This window comes from Homo sapiens, chromosome 9 (genome assembly GCF_000001405.40).
Source record: "Homo sapiens chromosome 9, GRCh38.p14 Primary Assembly".
NCBI lineage: Eukaryota > Metazoa > Chordata > Mammalia > Primates > Hominidae > Homo > Homo sapiens.
In genome coordinates, this window is record NC_000009.12 from 90,950,357 (window position 1) to 90,972,475 (window position 22,119).

General features: G+C 45.5%; 1 long non-coding RNA gene across 2 annotated transcripts in view; it reads right to left on the reverse strand.

The window, feature by feature from the left end:
* LOC105379829 (uncharacterized) overlaps positions 1 to 15,041 on the reverse strand; it is a 38,060-nt gene extending 23,019 nt beyond the window's left edge. The window contains exons 1-2 of one of the 2 annotated variants that reach the window (XR_007061656.1): positions 14,908 to 15,041; positions 4,939 to 7,068 (exon numbers count right to left, since the gene is read on the reverse strand). This is a non-coding gene — a long non-coding RNA (uncharacterized LOC105379829). Of the gene's footprint in view, positions 1 to 4,938; positions 7,069 to 14,907 lie in introns of those variants that run through there. The other variant, XR_001746828.2, reaches the window with a different exon arrangement.
* Between the last annotated feature and the right edge of the window lie 7,078 nt (positions 15,042 to 22,119).

Here is a 22,119-nt window from a genome sequence, read left to right on the forward strand (position 1 = left end):
AAACATATCATTATACCTATTTTCACAGTCCTGCAAACTGAAGTGCAGAAAGGCCAAGTCAGTGGTATGCAAAGGCTCCACAGTCCTGATAGCGCTATAAGAACACACTTGAAAATGTGTTTCTGACAAATGTTCTGATCTGCCTAAAATACTTGAGTTTTTTTGAAAGGAAGAAACCATTGTTGATCTAATATCTAAGGAAGAAAGTGTTCTGTTTTGTTTTTAAATACTGGGAGCTGGTTTTAGGTAAGAAAGTCCGTGTGATATTTGGTAAGGATTACTAATCCTTAGAAAGAGACACAATTGGTGTCAATAAATAAGGCCAATAAGAATAACAAAAATAAATGTTGATGTCTATTAGGAAAAAATAGTCTCGTGACAATGGTTAGGATGAAGCTTCCTGCTGTGTTTACTTAAGGGATTTTCTTCAATTATCTGTGAGGCAAGAAGGCAGAAAACATTGAGTGAAAACACGAAGCCACTGTTAGTCAAGAATTCTACTGTCTCTCAACAATCAGAAACAAAATTCCCTGGGGAAGCCCTTCCCCATATTAATTAGAAAAGTCAGGGAGATGAAATTGAGACTAGAATAATAAGATAAGCATGAAGGCATAGGTGGCCCCAGTGTCCTTACAAACACTCCAGAAAATTGTACCCTATGGAACTGTGCAGAGGTAGGTTTGCAAATCAAACACATGAAATGATGAAATGCTACTAGATATAAGTCAGATTATATGTATTCTTATATTTATGCACTTAATAAGCATTTATTGAGCACCTATTATGTGCCAGGTTCTATGTACTTTGAATACAATGATGCTATCCTCTAAGAATGTAAAATAAACTTATAAGTGCTGCAATCGTAATTACTTAAAATATTGACATATATTGAATGTATATTTAATTATATTTCAGGTTATAATTATAACCATTCTTTTTTTTTTTTTTTTTTTTTTTTAGACAGAGTCTCAACTCTGTCGCCCAGGCTGGAGTGCAGTGGCGCAATCTTGGCTAATTGCAAGCTCTGCCTCCCGGGTTCACACCATTCTCCTCCCTCAGCCTCCCAAGTAGCTGGAACTACAGGTGCCTGCCGCCACGCCCAGCTAATTTTTTGTATTTTTAGTAGAGACGGGGTTTCTCCGTGTTAGCCAGGATGGTCTCGATCTCCTGACCTCGTGATCCGCCCACCTCGGCCTCCCAAAGTGCTGGGATTACAGGCGTGAGGCACCACGCCTGGCCAATTATAACCATTCTTATACTTTTGTTTTAATTATAAATGGGAGTTTCATAGAAAAATTGCCATTTGGCCTTATTCACCTCAATTCATCACTTCTTGATTAAATTTATCCATCAGGTTTATGTAGCCTTAGCAAGTACAATAATTCTCCTAATGGGAACTGCTTCAAGTGAAGAAGGAGGAAGCGCTATCTAGGAGGAAGCACTCAGTCTCTGTGATGTATTTGCAAATCCATTCCTACTAACAAATAGTGGCTGTAAGAAAGACATCAATGAATACATCTAATCTGTCTTCAGGTTGTTTGTGAAGGACTAGGATAGATGTGGGGGTCCAATAAGGTAGAGGGGATCAACTGTACACTAAAACAAGTTATTCCAAATGTAGTCTAAACTTCACAATATCTGGTTTTAACATGATAGCACAAAATCTTTGTTTTCTTCCTTTCCTTAATTTCTTGGCTATTTTGCCCAACGATATTTCTTTCTGGCAAATCACCCAATGGCAACAAGGAATATAGGGAACAGAAATGAAAACTGCATCTCTGATGAGCCTAAAGATGGTTAAACCCGCAAACTCTGACATAAGAGGGAGAATGGCTAAGAGCAAGGTCAAAAGGGATGTCAGAAGACATAGGGAGGGAAGGCATCAGAAACCTGGGAGAAGGCCTCTCAGGGGAAGTGGTGTGTCTGAGCTTCCAGCCCACCCATCCCTATGCAACTGGGCAGGAAACAGAATGTGAGATGTGCTTTACTATATAACACAGTTTGCTCAGGTACTTAAAAAACTGGTGTGATTTTGGCATCAGAAAAACAAGCCATATTTGAAAACTGCCAAAGCAAACACACAAGCAAGCAAACAATCCCTATGATCTGGACATTCTTTTTTTTTTTTTTTTTTTTGAGACAGAGTCTTGCTCTGTCGCCCAGGCTGGAGTGCAGTGGTGCAATCTCGGCTCACTGCAAGCTCACCACCTCCCGGGTTCACGCCATTCTCCTGCCTCAGCCTCCCAAGTAGCTGGGACTACAGGTGCCTGCCACCACACCCGGCCAATATTTTGTATTTTCAGCAGAGAAGGGGTTTCACCATGTTAGCCAGGATGGTCTCGATCTCCCGACCTCGTGATCCGCCTGCCTCGGCCTCCAAAAGTGCTGGGATTACAGGCGTGAGCCACCGTGCCTGGCCGATCTGGACATTCTTAACCCATATCTTAACCAACTCCTAACTCAAAAAGAAAACTAAAACCAAATAGCAGAATGTAGACTATGACCATGATAAAAGCTTGACAAACCAGAACCTATGGGTTATCCCTAAAGAAGTGCTCAGAAGAAATTTCAGGGCCTGGAATAATGTGCTATATTCATGCATTTGATCAATGAACAAATACATTGCATACCTATTCTATGTCAGGCATTATTCTAGCAGTACATAAAACAGGTTGAAACGCCTGTCTCTGTGGAGTGTGCATCCTAGTGAAGGAAATAAATAAGTACTGTATTTACGTAGTAGGTCATGCAGTGTTAGTGTTAGAGGAGAAAATAAATTAGGAAAGGAACTAAAATGTGCATAGTGGGTTTGAATAAGGCGGTTAGGAAGGCCTAATAGAGAAGGATACATCTGAGTAAAGATGTAAATGGGTGAGAAGTGTGTCTCTCTGGGGGAGAAAAGGCTCCCTGCCGAGGAAAGAAAACTTGCAAAGGCCCAGAGGCTTGCAAAGGTCTGAGGCTTCGGAACTACTTGCTTCTAAAAGAACACTCCATGTTCCTCTCCCTTCCATGTACCTTGAGAGTGCCTCTAACTGCTGGCATCTAAACCAGAGCCCTCTAGCAGAGATTTGGGGAAATGTAGCTCCTAGGCAACCATGTCCTGGAGTACACGGGAAAACATAGAAAATACACACCCAGCATGGGTTGTAGCTGGAGATGGCTGTGAAGTCAAAAATTTGCTGTTGCTGTTGTTGTTTTTATTTTAAATGATAAACATTAAAGTGCACTGTTATGCTGATGTTAATGTCTCACTGTTGTGGGAAATTTTTATTATGCAGGAGAAGGGAAAATTTTCTAGAGCAAAATGCTAGAAAGCATAGGATCTAGCAAACAAGAGGAAAGGTTTTTCTAGATAAGAATGGACAGGGAGCATGTTGATTTCTGTGGTGGAAGTTTGCTGTGATTACTCCTTTCATTTCTTTCCCCCAGTGAAATAGGAAGCAAGGTGATTGGCTGAGAGAGAAGACAGAGAGGAAGTTTTGGAGGTGTAAAGACAGGAGTCATGAAATGATCATGTGGGACATGAGATTAATTTGGCCAGGAAACGTGAAGTGATGGCAGGAAACAGCGAGGACCCATTTGATACTATGAAATTAAAGTGAGGCCAGTAGCATACTGGAGGTTATTTTTCCTGCCACCAGCAGGTGCATGAATGCAGTGCAGAGTGGTGGAAAGTTCCCTGGTGAACTTCAGAGCATCCAGCAATGCTGGCTGTGACAGCACAGGCATTGGCCAGCCAGGACGGACTATGGCTGTACTACCAAGAACCAGCCAAAATGCCAGTCCTGGGAAAATGGGATTCATCCAGCTCAGGGCTCTTTCCAGAGACAGGCATGCAACAAAACAGGTGAGTTGCGTGAGTTAACGATGCATGTAAAGGTGTGATCGTAATGGGTTATTCAACTGAGGCATGAAGGAGGCAGTGAATGGGAGAGTCCATTGAGGCTGGAGAATCATAACAGCAGACACACAGGTGCAAGTGAGCTGGGAAGATGAGAGGGGGACGCTAGGAGAGCAGGGTGCTGGAAATGGCAACTGTGGCAGGATTGCTGGACAATTCCTAGTAACAACATGAGTAATCATGATCATAGTATTACCCTGGCAGAGAGTGCTGAGGTGGAGTGGAGAATAGGAACATTGAAAGGAAGGAGGCCCAGAACTGGTGTGGAGGGAGGCAGTGTAATCTGAAAGCTCTGCTCTATGGCACTGAAATCAGCAAACATTAAGAAAGTAGTCGTGTTGTAAAGAATGACAGTGGGCCAGGAGATGCATCTTTACAGATTGATGAGACTATTCTGAAGGGGAAGGGGAGAGGAGTCTTCAGAAAGAAGAGGTGTCGTGTGGTGGGACCTGATCTCAAGAGATTCTAATCTGCTGGGAGGTGTGCAGAAAACATCCCATAAGCGAAAGTGCAGAGCACAACCTTGGATCCTATCACCATACTGACCAGGTCTCCACAGAATCACTTTGATATGTGAATGTCCTTAATTCTCAGCAGATATACAATAATTTCTGTATGTCAAGCCTGGGATTAATGGGGTATTAAAATGGAACTGTCTTGGCAAAATCTGTCTTCATTCCAAACAGACACAGTGATGGCAGATCCAGCTACCCCATCAGGGTGGGGATTGCCTGCAGGTCAAGCCTGTAGAATATCACTCTCGGGGCAGCTCCTCTTACAGAGTAATGAATTGTACTCAAAGGTCAATTCTACAGTTCCAGAGGTTTTTTCATACTCTTGATCATGGGCTTCTTTTCTTTTTTTCTTTTTTTTTTTCTTTTTTTTTTTTTTTTTACCAAAGGCAGATACTACAGACAGTATGAACAATGAAATCTGAAATGTCTCATTTTTGACATTTCATAGACTTTGATTAATCAACAGAATTGACTACAGTGTCCTTATTGGTACTAGAATGTGCCATTCATTCATACAAAATATATTTATCAATTCATTTATTTGTTCATTCAAAATATACTTACAGAGTCCCTACTCTGCTAGCCATACTTTCAGGGGCTAGAGTTACAGAAGTAAACAAGACGATATGCCTGGTTTTCTGGGGCTTCTGTTACAGTGGGGAAGAAATGACAACAAGATAATCAGTCATGTAGCTTCAGAGAATAATCATGGAGATGAAGAAAGTAAAGCAGGTAGGAAGACAAGAGCAACGGTGATGCTCTTTCTGATGACGGGTTGCAGAAGGCCTCCCCTTGCAAAGAGCTTGGGGAAAAGAAGTCCAGACAGGGGCATGAGGATTCTGGACCTGTCGCCACATGGCCAGTGAGGGCAGAGCTGAGCACAGGACGGACAACCGGGCAGCAATGAGATCTGACCACACGGGACAAATCATAGAGGGTCTACCTCACAACAAGGAATTCAGAGTTTAACTGTGATATGAGAAACCACTGGTGTGTCTGGAGTATAAATCATATATTTGGAAGCTCACTCTGCCTGCTGCACAGAGAAACACCAAAGGGGACCAAAAGGAGACTTGAGGAGACAGGTGATAGGCTGGGTGGCTGAGACCTGAGTGTGGCCCAGATCGACAAGAGGTAGCTGTATTCTGGAACTGTTTCCAAGGTAGAGGAGAATCAGGAGCAATTTCTATTTTGGAGGCGAGCAACCTTTCGAAGGATGATGCCATTCCCGGACTGGGAGGGCAGGGTGCAGACCATGAATGCTGAGTCTGGTTGGGGCTTGTGCGGTTTCTGATGTTCTCGAATTACCCGAGTGGAGCTGAGGGTGACCAGAGGATATGAGTTTGAGGCCTGCACTCAGAAGCCATCAGCTGTAGAGGGAACAGAAGCCATGGTCCTGGGTGAGCTTTCCAGGAGTAAGTGCTTATGCAGTGCAAGAGACCAGTGAGTGCTGGACCCTGGGGATACAGACATTCCAATGTCATTACCACCAACCCAAGAAGCAGCAGTGAAGAGGTCTGGCCCTGCCCTTTGCCATGAGAACAACATGCCCAGAGCCAGGTTTTTGCCAGGTTAGTGGAAAAGTAATCGCAGTTTCGGGCCATGAATTTTAAATCATTATAACTAGGCTCAAACAAATCCTTATTAATCAGAAACAGGACCCATTACAATCAACACATTTTTGCCAACAAGAAATAAGTTTGTTTATTCCTGTACCATACAAATCGTGCTTTGGAATTCAAAGAACTCTTGGAAAGCATTTTCTGCATCCTGCTGGTTGTGGAAGCATTTTCCCTGCAAAAAGTTGTTAAGATGCTTGAAGAAGTGGTAATTCAGTTGTCAAGAGGTCAGGTAAACATAGTGGATGAGGCAAAACTTCGTGGCCCAATTTGTTCAACTTTTGAAGGGTTGGTTGTGAAATGTGCGGTCAGGCATTGTCATGGAGAATTGGGCTCTTTCTGTTGACCAATGCCAGCTGCAGATGTTGCAGTTTTTGGTGCATCTCATCGATTTGCTGAGCAGACTTCCCAGATTTAATGGTTTCACCAGGATTCAGAAAGCTGTAGTGGATCAGACTGGCAGCCGACCACCAAACAATGACCATGACGTTTTTTTGGTGCAAGTTTGACTTTGGGAAGTGCCTTGGAGCTTCTTCTTGGTCCAACCACAGAGCTGGTCATTGCTGGTCATTGTGTAAAATCCATTTTTTGTTGCACGTCACAATCCAACCAAAAAATGGTTCATTGTTGCATAGAATAAGGGGAGACAACACTTTAAAACAATGATTTTTTAAATTTTTGCTTATCAAGCTTTGTCACTTCCAATTTGCTGCTAATGCTGAACAACTGTAGAATGGTTGATGTTGAGTTCTTCGGCAACTTCTCATGTAGCTGTAGGAGGATCAGCTTTGATGGTTGCTCTCAACTGGCCCTTGTCAACTGCCAATGGCCGGCCACTATGCTCCTCAGCTTCAAGGTTCTCGTCTCCTTTGCAAAACTTTTTGAACCACCACTGCACTGTACATTCATTAGTAGTTCCTGAGCCAAATGCATTGTTGACGTTGCAAGTTGTCTCTGCTGCTTTATGATCCATTTTGAACTCAAAAAAGAAAATCACTCGAATTGGCTTTTTGTCTAACATCATTTCCATAGTCTAAAATAAACATAAAATAAACAGCGAAGAATAAGTCATTAGCAAAAAAAAAAGTGAGAACTGCACAATAAAATGATGTATAACATAACCACATTTATTTAAGAATGTATTCCAGTATCAAATGGCAAATTCCAACAACGCGGAAACCACAATTACTTTTGCACCAACTTAATATCGCTAAAGTTCCATTCTGCAGGGCTCCTGGTCCTCCTTACAATTACTCCAAGCCAACTTGTCCGCAAATAACTTCCATTAACCTTTATATCATTTCCCACAAGGGTTTGCCAAAGTGGAGGTAAAAGTTTTTGTTTTTTAATTTAAGCAAAGTGAAACAGGGATTTGAGGAATGGCAAATTATAATCTTTTCAAGTTTGGAACTCCAAAAGGGAAAATCCAAGATGTTTTGAGAGATGAAGTAGGAAGTTCTGGGACCCAAAAAACTTCAGGCTAAAACTGTGTATTGGGTAAAATTGTATCTCAGCAGACTAGCCAGTATGTTTTTACTAGCATTTTACTGACTACACACCAAGGAAGCCCTGTTCTCCGTTTCACACATTTGATATTGACAAAATACCCTGTGCTAAGCTAGCTACCTTACCTCTCCCACTTTACAGACAAGGAAACAGGCACAGAGAGCTCCCGCAGCTTACCCCCGTTGACCTGACTAAACGGAGGGGTAGAGGGGTGGAGAGTTGGCTGTGTGCAGAGCCCCCACCCCCGCTTAGCTGACCAGGTGTTTGTGCCTGCTGAAGGAAGGGAGATGTGGCCTGAGCGCTCCTTCCACACTAAAACACTACACGTACACGATACCCACCTAGCAGGACCACAAGTCATTCCAACTTACAACAATTTAGAAGACAGAGAACGTACATTCAACCCTGACACATGTTTGGGAGGTAGGGTGGGGCTCACCTGGGCTACAAACACAGTGACATTCTCAGCTCAAAAAAGAAAGTGGGTGGTGTCCCGGAACCTTGACCTGGTTGGCATTTTTGCCTTCTAAACAAAACAGTGAGTATGAATTCTTGAGAGGACTGAGGCACCTAGAGGAGGTTTGTGTTTGCTGTCAGCACAGTCATTGCTCAAACCTACAGAGGCCTCCTCTCCTCCTTGGAGGCATTCAGCTAATGCCCTTGGGCCCAGTTCTTATCGTCCACATGGACACCCTGCCAGCCCCACCAGGCAGGAACTGCACCACCCCCAGCACCTGTGAGCAGCCTCAGGGAGACCTGAGAGTGGACATGCCAAGCAGGTGTCCTACTAGACAAGGGAGGAGGCAGTCCCCACACCAGCCTGGGGAAAGGCAAGGGCTGACAGTAACAGAGGCAAGTCAGGGGGTCAAGGGCTGGGAATGTATTACACAGCACAAAGGACCCAGATCTTCAATCAGCAATGAAACTCCCAATCACCTGCATGATAGCTCAGTGTGTAAAAGGCCCATTTCCTCAACAACAGAGACAGCCTTTACATCAGGAACATCAGTGGGCCTCAAGTGCACATCTCTTGTCAGTGTCACAGTATGGGTCTCTTGAAAATACCTAGTTCCAATTCTGCTCGGCAAGGAGGGAAATGCTAGGAGCTGGGAAGGAACCCAAGGTCAGTATGACCTTATTCTTCCACGAGAATAACTTTCACTGGAATACTTTCTAAACAAATTGCCCTAGATATAGCAAAGGAAATACAACTATATGGGGTTTTCCTAGTGAAATTTGCTGAAACCAATCTATTCTTCATATTAAAGTAAGGTTTCCCAAAATGTTTCAGATGTTACACTGACAAATATTATACCCTAAGAACTGTATATCTATTTTAGAGCATATTATAAACAATAGAACTGGTATAGCAAACCTACGCCTTCAGTAGTGATATAAAATTTTCTTTATAAGATTATAGAGGAAGAATCTATTTCAGGTAAAATGTTAGACTGAGGATAAAGTTGGTATGCTGGCATAGCAAACGTTGGACTCCGTAGCTGCCATAAAGTCCAAAAGAAGAATCTTTCTATGTCAGCTCCAGAGCACTCCCTTTTACAAGAGAGACATCTGGGCCGGGTGTGGTGGTTCACGCCTGTAATCCCAGCACTTTGGGAAGCCAAGGTGGGTGGATCTTAAGGTCAGGAGATCGAGACCAGCCTGGCCAATATGGTGAAACCCCATCTCTACTAAAAATACAAAAACTTAGCCAGGCATGGTGGCATGTGCTAGTAGTCCCAGCTACTCAGGAGGCTGAGGCAGGAGAATTGCTTGAACTCGGCAGGTGGAAGTTGCAGTGAACCGAGATCACACCACTGTACTCCAGACTGGGTGACAGAGTGAGACTCCTCAAAAAAAAAAAAGACATCTGATTCTATGTATAGTTTATGGAATTGGAACAAATTATAGTTAATCAATACAGTGTTTATTAAGTGTTCTTTCAGAGGCTGGAGAAAAACTCATGGCTAAGGACTAGTTGGAAACATATTAAATCCTCAAAATGTCCTTTCTTTCTTTCTTTCTTTCTTTCTTTCTTTCCTTTCTTTCTCTTTCTTTCTTTCTTTTTTTTATTAGACAGGATTTCTCTCTGTCACCCAGGCAGGAGTGCAGTGGTGCTATCACAGCTCACTGCAGCCTCGACCTTCTGGTCTCAAGTGATCCTCCTGCCTCACCCTCCCAAGTAGTGGGGACTACAGGTGTGCAGCACCACACCCAGCTAATTTTTTCCTGTTTTTTGTAGAGATGAGGTCTCACCATATTGCCCGTGCTGGTCTCAAACCCCTAGGTTCAAATGATCCTCACGTCAGCCTTCCAAAGTGCTGGTGTTACAGGCATGAGGCACCATGCCTGGGCTCCCATCATGTCTTTAAACCCATGTGGGGCAGGCTTCTCTCCCTACTCCATCACTGAGAAATGAGACTGTGGGTCAATCCACCCTTACCCTTGCAGAAACAATGGGGACCTCTGGGGCCCAAGGAGGGTCCCAGGAGGGAACTCTGGGTCTGTTGAGTCCACACCCTGCTGTGAGGAGGAGCAGGACCATGAGTCAGGTGGGCCGGCAACTGACACAGGGGCTCAGAGCTTTCTAGAATGTGACAGAGCAAAGCCCCACATAAACACAGGGCCAGGTGATGTGCAGAAATTTGAAATGTTTTCTGAGCACAAAAGATCTCCAGTTTGTCCACATTCCATAAAACTCAAAAATGTGAAAACAGTGATTGGATGTTTGGAGGTGCAAACAGCTGAACCCAGGTATACTGGATAAAAAGATAGAACAGCGCCATCATAGCTGAGGGAATGATGGCTGAAACCCTGTTCCTGCATCAGGCACCTGTAGTAGGCAGGATTCTAAGGTGGACCCCAAGGCCCTCAACCCTGGTGTGCTTGCCTGTGAAATCTCCTCCCCTAAGCACAGGTCCCCTGGGGACTTGACAGCACATCATTCCTGTGACCACGGTGGGCAACAGGGAGACGGTCCTGGCTGGGTTTGATCCCATTATGTGAGGTCTTTAAATGCACAGAATTTTCCCCAGCTGACTGCACAGGAGAAAGCCAGACAGAGGCATTCCTGCTGGGCTGGGTAAAGGAGGAAGAAGCATGTTGTAAATTACCCATGGGGTGGCTCTAGGAGCGGAGAGTGCCCCCTAGGCCACAGCTATCGAGGGAGCAGAGATCTGCCACCTCACAATTTCAGCCTGTGAAACACTAAGCAAAGGGCCCATGTGACCTGGATTCTCGGTGGAGTTGTGAAATGATGCATTTGTGTTGTTTTATGCCACTGAGCTTGTGGCATTTTGCAACCACAGTAACCATGTCCTTTCCTCAGATGTCCTTTCTTCCATGTTCACCCGTGAAATGGGGCCCATGTGTGCGCCTGAGTACCACCCAAAACACACAAGAGGAGAGGTGGCAGACATTACCCTAAGGAAGTTTTAAGGAGGGGGACTCCACTCTTTGCCTTTAAGGCATGTCTACAATCATGAGAAGATCTGCTGGTCATTTTCATGGACCCACAAAATTGACTTTGGCAAACACCTCTGTGCCTTGCCCATCTACAAGTAGGGCAATGATGACTTTCTCTGTCTGGATCCTGCTGAGTCACATAGTTTTTCTAAGAGCCAAATTTTGAAACAAGAGCACACTTGGCCCTGGAGCGTTTCTGCCGACAGCATGACCATGCGGCCCCAAGCACCCGCTTTGCAGGTTCTGGGCATGATGGTCCCAGCAGGAGAGCTGGGAGCTGCCCCACGTAGACAGCTGGCTGGAAGCCAGGTCGTCTGGGTTGTCGTCGCTGACACAGCACAATACAAAGCAGGTCATGTGTTTGTTTAAAGGGGCTGCTTTCTCTCCTTTCACACGGACCCCGTGAACATGGGCACTTTCTCAGGACGCACCCTTCCCTGGCCTTGGGTGTCTGGGTGGGCCATCCCCTAGGCTGCACACTCCCAGAGGGCTTGAGCTTGCACACTGTTCTTCCTTTCCATCCTTGCTGCTACTTCATGGACTTCTTAAACTATTGTCCCTTGCCCATCATCCTACAGATTTGGGGATTTGCTTTACCTTGGATGAAATTGTTGTTTAAATTTTTCTCTGCAACCTCTGTCACAAGCCACTCATGACTGATTCAAGTGTGAAAAAGCCAGGGAAAAAACAGATTTTGTACCTCACTCTATCCATGCGCATCACACAATGGGGTGCTGCCTCTCTGGAACCCCGTTTCAGAAAGCAAATCCCCTATCTGTCCCCAACTCTCTCAGTGAGGCTGCTGTCTCTCCTGCTCCTCACAGTCCCAGAATAGACCCACTACCACTTTCCCCAGTTGGTGCTTAATTACTACAGAATCACCAGGGGAGGGTAGAAAAGGTGACCAGAAGGAGGTGAAGAGGAGCCTGGGGTCCCAGCGGCCACGCTTTTCCCACATGGAACTCCTGGCATGCCTTCTGCATACACAGCCTTATCCAGACACAATGCACAAGAACCAGCCTGCATTCTCCACCTGCGTCAGCTGTTGTCTCCGTCAATTCAGGCTGCTGTGACAAAATGCCATAACCTGGGTAGGTGGCTTATAAACAACAGAAGTTTATTTCTCACAGTTTTGGAGGCTGAAAGTTCAAGATCAAAATGCCAGCAGATCCAGTGTCAGGGAAGGGCCCACTTCCTGGCTCATAGACAGACATCTTCTTGTTGTGTCCCCTCATAGCAGAAAAGGTGAGCAGTGTCTCTTGGGCCTCTTGTATAAGGGCACAAATCCCATTCATGAGGGTTCTACCTTGGTGACCCAATCACCTTCCAAAGGCCCCACCTTCTCATACCCTCACCTTAGGGGTTAGGATTTCAACCTGTGAATTTTGGATTGACACAAACATTTAGATCATAGCAGCTATCATTTCTTTCTCAGAGCAGCTGCCCTAAGCAGCTCTGAGAGCAGGGCCCAGCTGCTGATGCTGGAAGGTGCTCTCCATCTTGCCCTCTTACTCAAAGATGTCTTGTCTCCCCTTCATTGGTTAGTGTCCCTGGGTATTAACCATTTGTTTTCTTCTATCCTCAGAGGCACTGGTACTTGCATCGTAGAGAGAAACAGGCCCTCTGTTCTAGAATGGCACAGCCACGTGGTGAAACCCTCCTTTCCTGGGTGATATGGTTTGGCTGTGTCCCCACCCAAATCTCATCTTGAATTGTAGCTCCCATAACCCCCACTTGTCATGGGAGGGACGTGGTGGGAGATAATTGAATCATGGGAGTGGTTTTTCCCATGCTGTTCTCGTGATAGTGAATAAGTCTTATGCAATCCGATGGTTTTATAAAGGGCAGTTCCCCTGCACATGCTCTCTTGCCTGCCTCCATGTAAGACATGCCTTTCTCCTCTTTTGCCTTCCACCATGATTGTGAGGCCTCCCCAGCCATGTGAACTGTGGATCCATTAAATCTCTTTTTCTTTATACATTACCCAGTCTTGAATATGTCTTTATTAGCAGTTTGAAAACAAACCAGTATACTGGGCTTGCCCCTTCCCAATAGTGCCTCTGTAGGGAAAGCTGGGGTATCTGTGTCTTTTTAAGGTTCTTTCAAAGAGGCCACTGAGGGTGTTTCTCCAATTCCATTTAGGAAACCATCGCACTCATTTCAGTTGATCACAGCTATTCAGGTTTTCATATACCTATAAATATTAACACATCTCTTTTACCTATTTTCATGAATCACCAGAATGAGCACAGAAGAGGAGGAACCACATAAGTATGGTAACCGAGAGGGAACTGAATTTCTTTGAAGAAAGACACCAATTTTCCAATTCTAGCTGGTCCAAGCAGCCAAATAGCAAATAAAGGAAATAGCAAAAAAAAAAAAAAAAAAAAAAAAAAAATCTATAACTAGGAGCAGTTGCAGACAAAAGTTTGATGTCTTATCATTTCTCTCAGCTACATTCACACTCAGAGACAACTGCTTTGTCCAACGTAGTCATTGCAGAAAAAAAAAAAAAAGCAATAAAGGTTTTCCATATTGGCTACAATGGCTACAATCTGTAGACTCTGGTTAGCAAATTCATGACCAGAGTTCCATCTCATTTTTTTTGTCATTTAGAAATTGGTATTTTGTTAAACGAAATCTCCGTATTTTACTTAAACCTTGCTTGTCTAATTTTCACAAGTATCTAAAAATGCATATTGCTGTTCTTGGCAGAGCCCAATTCCATCTTTATTTATCTTAAGAGTAACAATTCTCCAGACACAAAATGTTTTGTTCTTTAAAAAACAACCCAGATAACACTGACTGGGTGCTTAGGAGTGGGGCGGGTTTTCTACTGAGGGCTTCAAAATCATGACTCATAATAATCCTAGGATAGGCAAAAGTGTAATTACCACATTACAGATAAGGAAACTGAGGCTCAGGAAGGGGAAGTGGTGTGCTTAAGGCTCTCATGGCAGAACTGCAGGCTTTAGAGAGCCGCTGCCCAAGGGTGGCAACACACCGCCGCTGTCAGCTTACCGCCTAGCTCCCAGACTGAGGCCGTCACCAGGAGCCACCTCCTTCACACGCCACTGCCCCTGGTGGTGTGTAAACAGTCGGCCACTTTCACACCCTCATGCACACACTCAGCAAAGATTGCTCTTCAAACTTAGGCTCTCCCTTCCTGTTTTGTGCGCCTGCTTCTAATTACACAGTTGTCTCCCTAGTGAGCTAGCTCTGCAGGAAGAGATGAAAAGATTGGTGTTCGGACCCTCCAGAAAAGACTAGACGTAAGATGCAGCTGGAAGTATTGGGCGGACAGGAGCCTGGCACAAGCCATCATCTCCCAGGGGACGGAACGACCCCTTCATCTCCCTTTCCCAGACACATCCGGTCTCCCGTCCCCACGGCCTCCGCCCCCCAACCCGCCTTCTGTAGGCTGCGTGGAGGGTGAGTCAGTCGGGGGAAGGGAAGAAGAGACAGGTTTAGAAAACGCTGGCGGAGGCTGGATTGACAGGGAGAGGTCCCGAGCCTGACCTTCTTGAGCTGGGTGTGACCTTGGTCTAAGGGAGAGCAACAAAATCCAGCCCGCCCCCTTTCTGCTCACACTCCCCCAAGGGGTCCTCCTGGCAGGGCCATGGTGCCTGGGAGAAAAGAACCCCACCGGTTGCATCCTCAGCACCAGCAGGCCTGGGGCTTTCCTAGAACGCTACTTTCCTTTTCACCCCAGCCTGTTCTTGATGCTGCGGTGCTCAGGACGGGACCTACGGACTGCCTGGGAGACCCACGGACTGTGCTGGCCCCTTTCCCCGCATGCAAGACCCTAAGTAGAGATGCAGGTGGGGAAGTGATGCCTCCGTTCTTGTGAAAATGTTTTCACACGCTGAAAAGTTGGAAGACAACAAACACTGCGACATGTCACCTGGATCCAGCGCTTCGTAGCATGTTGTGATTTCTCTGCCTCCGCCCGCTTTCTCTCGTGGAACCGGTTGGAAGCTAGTTACAGACGTCAAAACAACTCACCCTTGCATTCCTCAGCAGGCGCCTCCTAAGAATAAAGATGTAACTACTGTATGAGGGCTCTCCAGAGAAACAGACCGATAGGATGCATGTGTATGTCTGTATTTAGAGAGAGAGAGATTTCCTTTTAAGGAATGAGTTCCTGTGATTGTGGAGCCTGGAAGGAGGGCCTGCCAGGGGGCCTAGTTGGTTCCAGCAGGCTGGAAATGTAAGCGTGTTGATTTTGCCTTCTTAAACTTGATCTCTGCAGGGAAAGCTGGCAGACTGAAAACTCAGGCAGGGTTCCTGTGTTACATCCTTAAGGTGGAATTCCTTCTCCTTTGGGAAACCTCAGTCTTTGCTTGGAAGGCCTTCAACTGATTGGATAAGGCCCACCCTCATTAGGGAAGGTCAACTTCTTTACTCACAGTCTCTGCTTTAAATGTTAATCACATCTAGAAAACACCTTCACTGCAACATGTAGGCTGGTGCTGATCAAACAGCTGAGCATACCATAGCCTAGCCAAGGTGACACACACATTAACCATCACAATCACATTACCATTCAGAGTGGTTTCATTTTAATAATAGCCTGAAGTTTATGGTTCAATACATCCTTAGAAACAGAGGCAGGGAATGTCACCCTTTGTGTACAAAAGGGAAAATAAAGGAAATGGTACTACGTTTCTTGCATTTGCATATGGAAAATCAGGAAGGAGACACACAGAGTTCATGGAAGTGGAAACCTGGCAGAGGTGGTCACCAGACAGGCAGCTCCAAGGGAAGGAAGCCACTCACTCAGAGCTTGCTTTGACTTACGAGCCACATGACTTACGAGCTTGCTTTGTTGAATAAACAGCAAAATGTCAAAAGGGGTTGAATTATAAGCAAATCCCTAGTTAAAACAACAGAACAAATTTTGTTGTGAACTGCTGCCCCAGGGAACCCAGCACACCCTATTTCTACTTTCTCCATGGGAAGATTTGCCCACCTAACGATTCAAATCTATCCTAAGGAAAACAAAACAGAGCCAAAATTAAAAAGCAGACAACATATTGGGAGTTGAGATTTTCATCAATCCTTAGGGAGTGAGGGCAGAATCCAGGAATCACCAAATGGCTACACTCACCCTTTGGGCTCTGGAGGGTCCCGAGGCCCAGCCAGGCCTGTGAGAGGAGCCGCAGCAGTAGCTGCAGCCTGCGGGATCTGCATCCGTTTTCACGCCCTGGTCTCTGGCCTGTGACGGGACTGTGGTTGTTTTAAGAACTGGGATAGTGAGCACAGAACAAGCGTGCCACCCGACCCCACGGCGCTGAGTGTCTGCATTCATCCAAAGGGGCCCTTTTGATCTTACTGTTCGATGACTTTTCTTTCACCCACGAAACATCTACATGTGGGCTGATCTTTCCACACCCATATTATAACGAGGAACTTTCCAGATGACTAATAACTAAGACATGTTTTTCAAGATGTGCTTTACATTTCACTCTGTAAGTGTGCACCGCGGGAAGGATATTCAATTCTGTTCCAGTTATTACTGCGGGATAACGGGCACAAACTTAGTGGTACAAAATAGCCCACGCTCACAGATTCTGTGGGGCAGAGATGGCATTGGGAGTGGTTATGGGGGACGTGACCTCTTCTCCATGATGCTTGGGCCTCAGCTGGTAAGACTCCAATGCCTGGGGCTGGAATCATCTAGAAGCTGCTCTCCTGCATGAGGCTGGGCTCCTTGGGACCATGCACCAGAGAACCTGCATGCAGCCTTTCCCATGCCTCCAGCTTCTCACAGCATGACCCAGACAGAAAGCTTCTGAAGACTATGATTTCCAGGTCCCCACGTAAAAGCTACATGGCCTCCTTTGACCTGGGGAGCCATGTGTCATGACAGCTAGGCCAGATCTAAGGGAAGGGCTTTAGTCTCCCCTACTCTTGTGGGAAGGGAAGGGAAGGCCCATATTGTAGAAGAGCTCGTGAGATGGGAGATGTTGACGTCAGCTTTGGAAAATGCGAGCTTCCCCAGAATCTGACCATGGTGACGTGGGAAGGGACTTAGGACCCTCCCTTTCTCCTTTTACACATTGTGAGGCTCTGAGTAGGAGTTGGAACCTGGGTTTCCAGACCCCCCGCCCCCGCCCAGAGCTGCTTCTACCAGGCCACACACACTTCCATTTACATTTCAAAGAAAAGTTGCTTTATGTTTCTCTTCACGTGTTTTTTTTTTCTTTCTGCCTTCTGTGTTCTCTAGATCAAATGAAGAAAGCCCATTTATTATTTATTCCAGGTATGTCCTAGATGCATACAATTTCTTCCCAGTGATTATTTAAGATAAAAATGAAGATTGGGCTTTATCTTTTAAATGAGAGTCAAACAAGCACCCTGGCTTGTTAACAGAGAAGTCAGTGCCATACCCTGCATTGCTTCTGCAATCTCCTTAATCTGCTCTTTCGTGGATGCATTTAGTGAATCCACCTGGCCCTGATTAACTGGGCTTTGTAAAGAAAGGCCCCTCACATGGAGTCAGACATTGAAAGATATTCAGTGTTTTAACATTGAGTGGGGAGGCAGGGAAACAATGGGAATTCTCTTATAGTAATGATCCATTTTAGGTCACCTTTCACCATTGGACTACATGAGTTGGGATATAGGCTGCATGGCTATAACAAAGGCCTGAAAATACAGTGGCAGAAATACATTTATTTCCCTCAAATACAAGACGACAAAGGCAAACAGCCTGGGCCAGTGTGACTACTCTGCCACTTTCAACACATGGCTTCTATTTCTGGGTTCCAGGCAACTACTCCAATTTCCTAGATTGAGGGGTCAGGGGGAGGAAGTAGTGGACATTTCCCTTTTTTCCTAAGGCACACATCGCTTCTTTTCTCATCTCATTGGCCCAAACTTGGTCACATGGACATGTCTAGCAGCAAAGGAGTCTAGGAAATGCAGTCTCTAGATGAAAGTCTAGGCATGCAATTAAAATTCTGAGGGTTTCTATTCCTAAAAGGAAGAAAAGATGAATGGATGTTGGGAACAGTTGGCTATCTCTGTCCTGCACTAATACATTTATCTTCTTGGTTTCCCATGAAGAAGCAGAGATCATGGGAATTGCTATGGGGTAGCACTTGTTATGGACCAGGGATACAAGTTGCCACAGCAACCACACTAACTGGCTGGTGCCACCCACAATGTTATCTTTTTTTCTCTACCCTTTGCATAAGTGATGTCTCTAAATGAGCAAGATTGTAAGAAACAAATGCTGTGGACTGAATGTCCACTGTTTCTTGGTCATTGGTTCTCTGTAACAGTCTGTTAGTCTTTAGAGCCAGATACAACTGGGTTCAAATCCCAGCTCTGCCAATAGCTATGTGGGGGCCTCAGTTTCTTCACCTAAAAATTAGATACCCTATTACTTGCTGCCTAGGGTTAACGTGCGGGTAAAGTGAAAGAATGTAGGTGAAGCACAGTGCCTGGCACTTAATAGAAACTCAAAAAAGGGTCCTAACCATTACCATTACCAGGAAGGACATACTCTATAAGAGCCTGGTTTGCCAGTCTGATCAACAGATTTGTGTCAATTGTGGCAAAGGAGACCCTGGGGACCTCCAGAAGCCTCCTGTGCTGACTCTCCAGTGCTTACTGGGTCCACCTCTAGGGCCAGCCTCACCCACCACATTGGCTTGAGGTGCAACTGGAAAGTCTGAGTCAATTCATTCTTCCAATGCTGCCCCAAAGAGGGTACAGACTTCCCACCAAGCCCTACCTCAGTTGACTTTGGCCTTCCTAGCTTAGGCTGAGCCTCTTGGGAACACAGCAGCCAGCACCTGGCTTCCGCGTGCAGTTAGACACCCAGAGATGAGCCGGGGGAGTTCAGAACGCCTTCTCCCTGTGAGCCATGTGGTGGCATGCTTGACTATTGCGATGTTGGCTAGACACTCTGGCTTTGTAGGAGTCTGGGATTTGGGGGTTATCTTCTTCAGGTCACATGGCCCTCGTTTAGAATCTGGGGTCCCCCAGCCGGGATTCCCATCTTTCAGAAACACCTCAGCCAGCTTAAGGCATCTGCTCCAATGGTCTCCATGACAACCCTGAAGAGCCTGCAGTGAGCAGCCAGCAGAACTTGCCAGCCGAGAGGCTCATCCCACTAATTGGATAATGTATATGAAAGAGCTGATCACACCTGGCACCTGAATCAAAGGGTGAACTCACCAGACATGAATCATGCCAGCCTGTTAAGTAGGTACAAGCGTTTTTATTCCTGGCCATAGGAGCAGCCTTGCTTGTAATTAACCATCATCCCTAATATCTGTCTAATGCCCATAACACCCCCGAGAGGAGTTTTGTCATTCTTATTTTGTAAATGAGTAAGATACAGAACTTAATCAGAACTCAAGGATTCTTATTTGGTGGGCTGTTTAAGCTGGAGTAAATGTTTGTTTTTTACTGACCATCATGATGTCAACATTGCCTTTAAAAAACAGGGAATAGAAGAAGAAAAGGAAAAAAGGAGGGAGGGAGAAAGAGAGAAGGAAAAAAGGAAAGAGAAAATGGTGATTAGATGGTGTGGTGTGGAATCAACATAAGGTTACCAAGTGTGTATGATTTCACAGATGTTAAATACCATGACTACTGCTATTAACTACTCCCGCCACATCACCACATCTGCAGAATCTAAGACAAGAATGTGAGAAAAAACAATGACAGTCCTAAAGGACAATTGGCAACTTGGATCACCATCCCCCCAGGGTCCCCATTTTCCTAATTTCCACTTAGAGTAGTTACAACTTGAGCATTCCCACACATAGAAATCAAAGGGCCAGGCCTCAGCACCAGGCTGCACCCAGTACAGCCAGACTCCCTTCTTGCTTCATTACAGTGGGCTTGCATTTGCCTCCAAGGATGTCCAGGGCTCTGGAAACCAAACCTTCCAGCCTTTGGACTTTTTCAGCTACAAAATATGGATCAAGTATGAACTAGTAACAACCCATTAAAATATATGTGTATGGTTTGGAAAAGATCATGTATTTTAAAGTGAAAGCAAAGACTTAGCACTGAGTAAAAGTTAAATATTTTTGTTCAATTCAGTCTGAAAATAGAAAAACAGAAAGTGGTGTCTAAGAGCTTATGGGCATGAAGGAAATCAAGCTTGGGCAAAACAATCTTCAGTGAAATTTTATAGCTGACTCACAAATCCTTACAAGGCAGAGGGTGTTAGTATTAGGGATACGAGGCAGCGCTATTAATTGTGCTATTATGCACCTGGTGAAATTTTAGGAAGGTAAATACGTGAAAGAGGACCACTGAGCCTGAGCTTTGCATTAAGGGATAACACTGCTCTTCATCCCGGGAGGGCAGATGTCTTGATCCTGGCTTTATGATGGCATGACACACACATCCCTCAACACCTGACTCACTTCGTTGGCCCTGCTGATGTCCACAGGCAGCCACATGTGATGGCCTCAGTGCTGAGTGGAGAAACGCCTGCGGCTTTGGGAAGGACTTGCTGCAGCCTGCTCCTACCCCAGCCAGCCTCCTTCCAGCCCCATTGTTCTCGACACATAAGAGGCCTGGCAAGTCTCAACCCGGGTGTAAAGCGGCATCCCTTACCCTAGAAATACAGAAGTCATTTTTTTCTAGTAGCTAAGAAAGGCCTGGCGCTGCATTACAAGAGTTCATTCACATAAACAGTGAACGCTAGAAATCGAATTACACTTGGATGCTTCCTTGGGGGATTCTGTTATTTGTTTGATTGTCCCCATATATTTTGATGGGAAACGTGGTCTATGTTCACTCAGACCTACACAAAATAACCATAGCTACCGTGTATTAAGTACCTGCTATGGGACAGGTGGCTTATATGCATTTTTTATTCATGGTTACTTTAGTCAGTAAAGAATGAAGGCCAGGTGTGGTGGCTCATGCATATAATCCCAGCACGCTGGCAGGCCAAGGCAGGAAGATCACCTGAGGTTGGGAGTTTGAGACCAGCCTGACCAACGTGGAAAGGTGAGGAAACTGAGGCACAGCCAGACAACCTGCCACAGGGATGGCAGAGCAGGTTGGGGACAGCCCAGGCTACCTCCATCTTATGACAATTCTTCAAGAAGATGGGCATGGAAAATGCAAAATTATCTGCAGGAATATTGCAATCTTGCTCAGAAGAGGAGGAGGAAGATAAGCGGCAGAGTCCCTTTAAATGCTCTGGTGCCCATGGCCAATCTAAACCACTCTGGGCCTGCTTCAAAGGCCTCCAGAGAGGCTGACGGCCAGCAGGCCTCACTGTGGGTCAGCTCCAGCCCTGTGCCTTCCAGCACTTTCTTATCAGGAGGGTGAAGAGCTGGCTGAGAAGGGTGGCCAAAGAAACAATCACACAATGGCTGCCCCACAGTGTGGACATATGTGCCCTCTAACTGAGCTGATCAAATCAACTCTGAGAATGCAGCTAGGTTTTTAGGAGTGGTTGAATCTAGTTAATAGGTGATTAAAAAAGTAATCAATATTTATGGTTTAGTCCCATCTCCAGATTTACGTAGGCAGTCTCGGGATTCAAAGTGCTCAGAAGGCGCTGACATCGGATGTTGTAAAGGGGAATAGAGTGGGAATAGGATTCCGCATCCTCTGAGGTGTGATGGAAGAAATGATACAGCAAGCAGCTGTCCTCGCCTTTGGCTGTGCTGCAGTCACTGTGAGGCTGTGAGATTCCACACACCTGGCTGCACCCAGACCCATTCAGCCCGCAGATCCAAGACAGATGGCACCCCGGCACCCGTGTTCTTAATCCCCAAGGGTGGCACTGCCTCACAAGGCTGGGGATCCTGGTGTCCTGTCTTACAGGTGCAAGCATAGATGAGAGTCCTGGCCACGCCTGCCATTCAGGCAGAAAGGCTCTGCTACCAAGAATCAGAAATCAAGTTCTTTCGTAGTTAAAAAAGAAAAAAGAAAAGCAGAACTAGCATCACCAACAAGGCTAGTTTCCACCCCCCACCTATGGCAACTATGAAACTGTCTCACCAGAAAAAAATGAAAAACTGACAGCCAGAAACCTTTTTACCCCTTTTGTTTCATGAGCGGTAGAAAGCTTATGACCCACAGGAAAAAAGAAACTGGAACCAGTAGCAGAAAGGGAGCTGGGGTG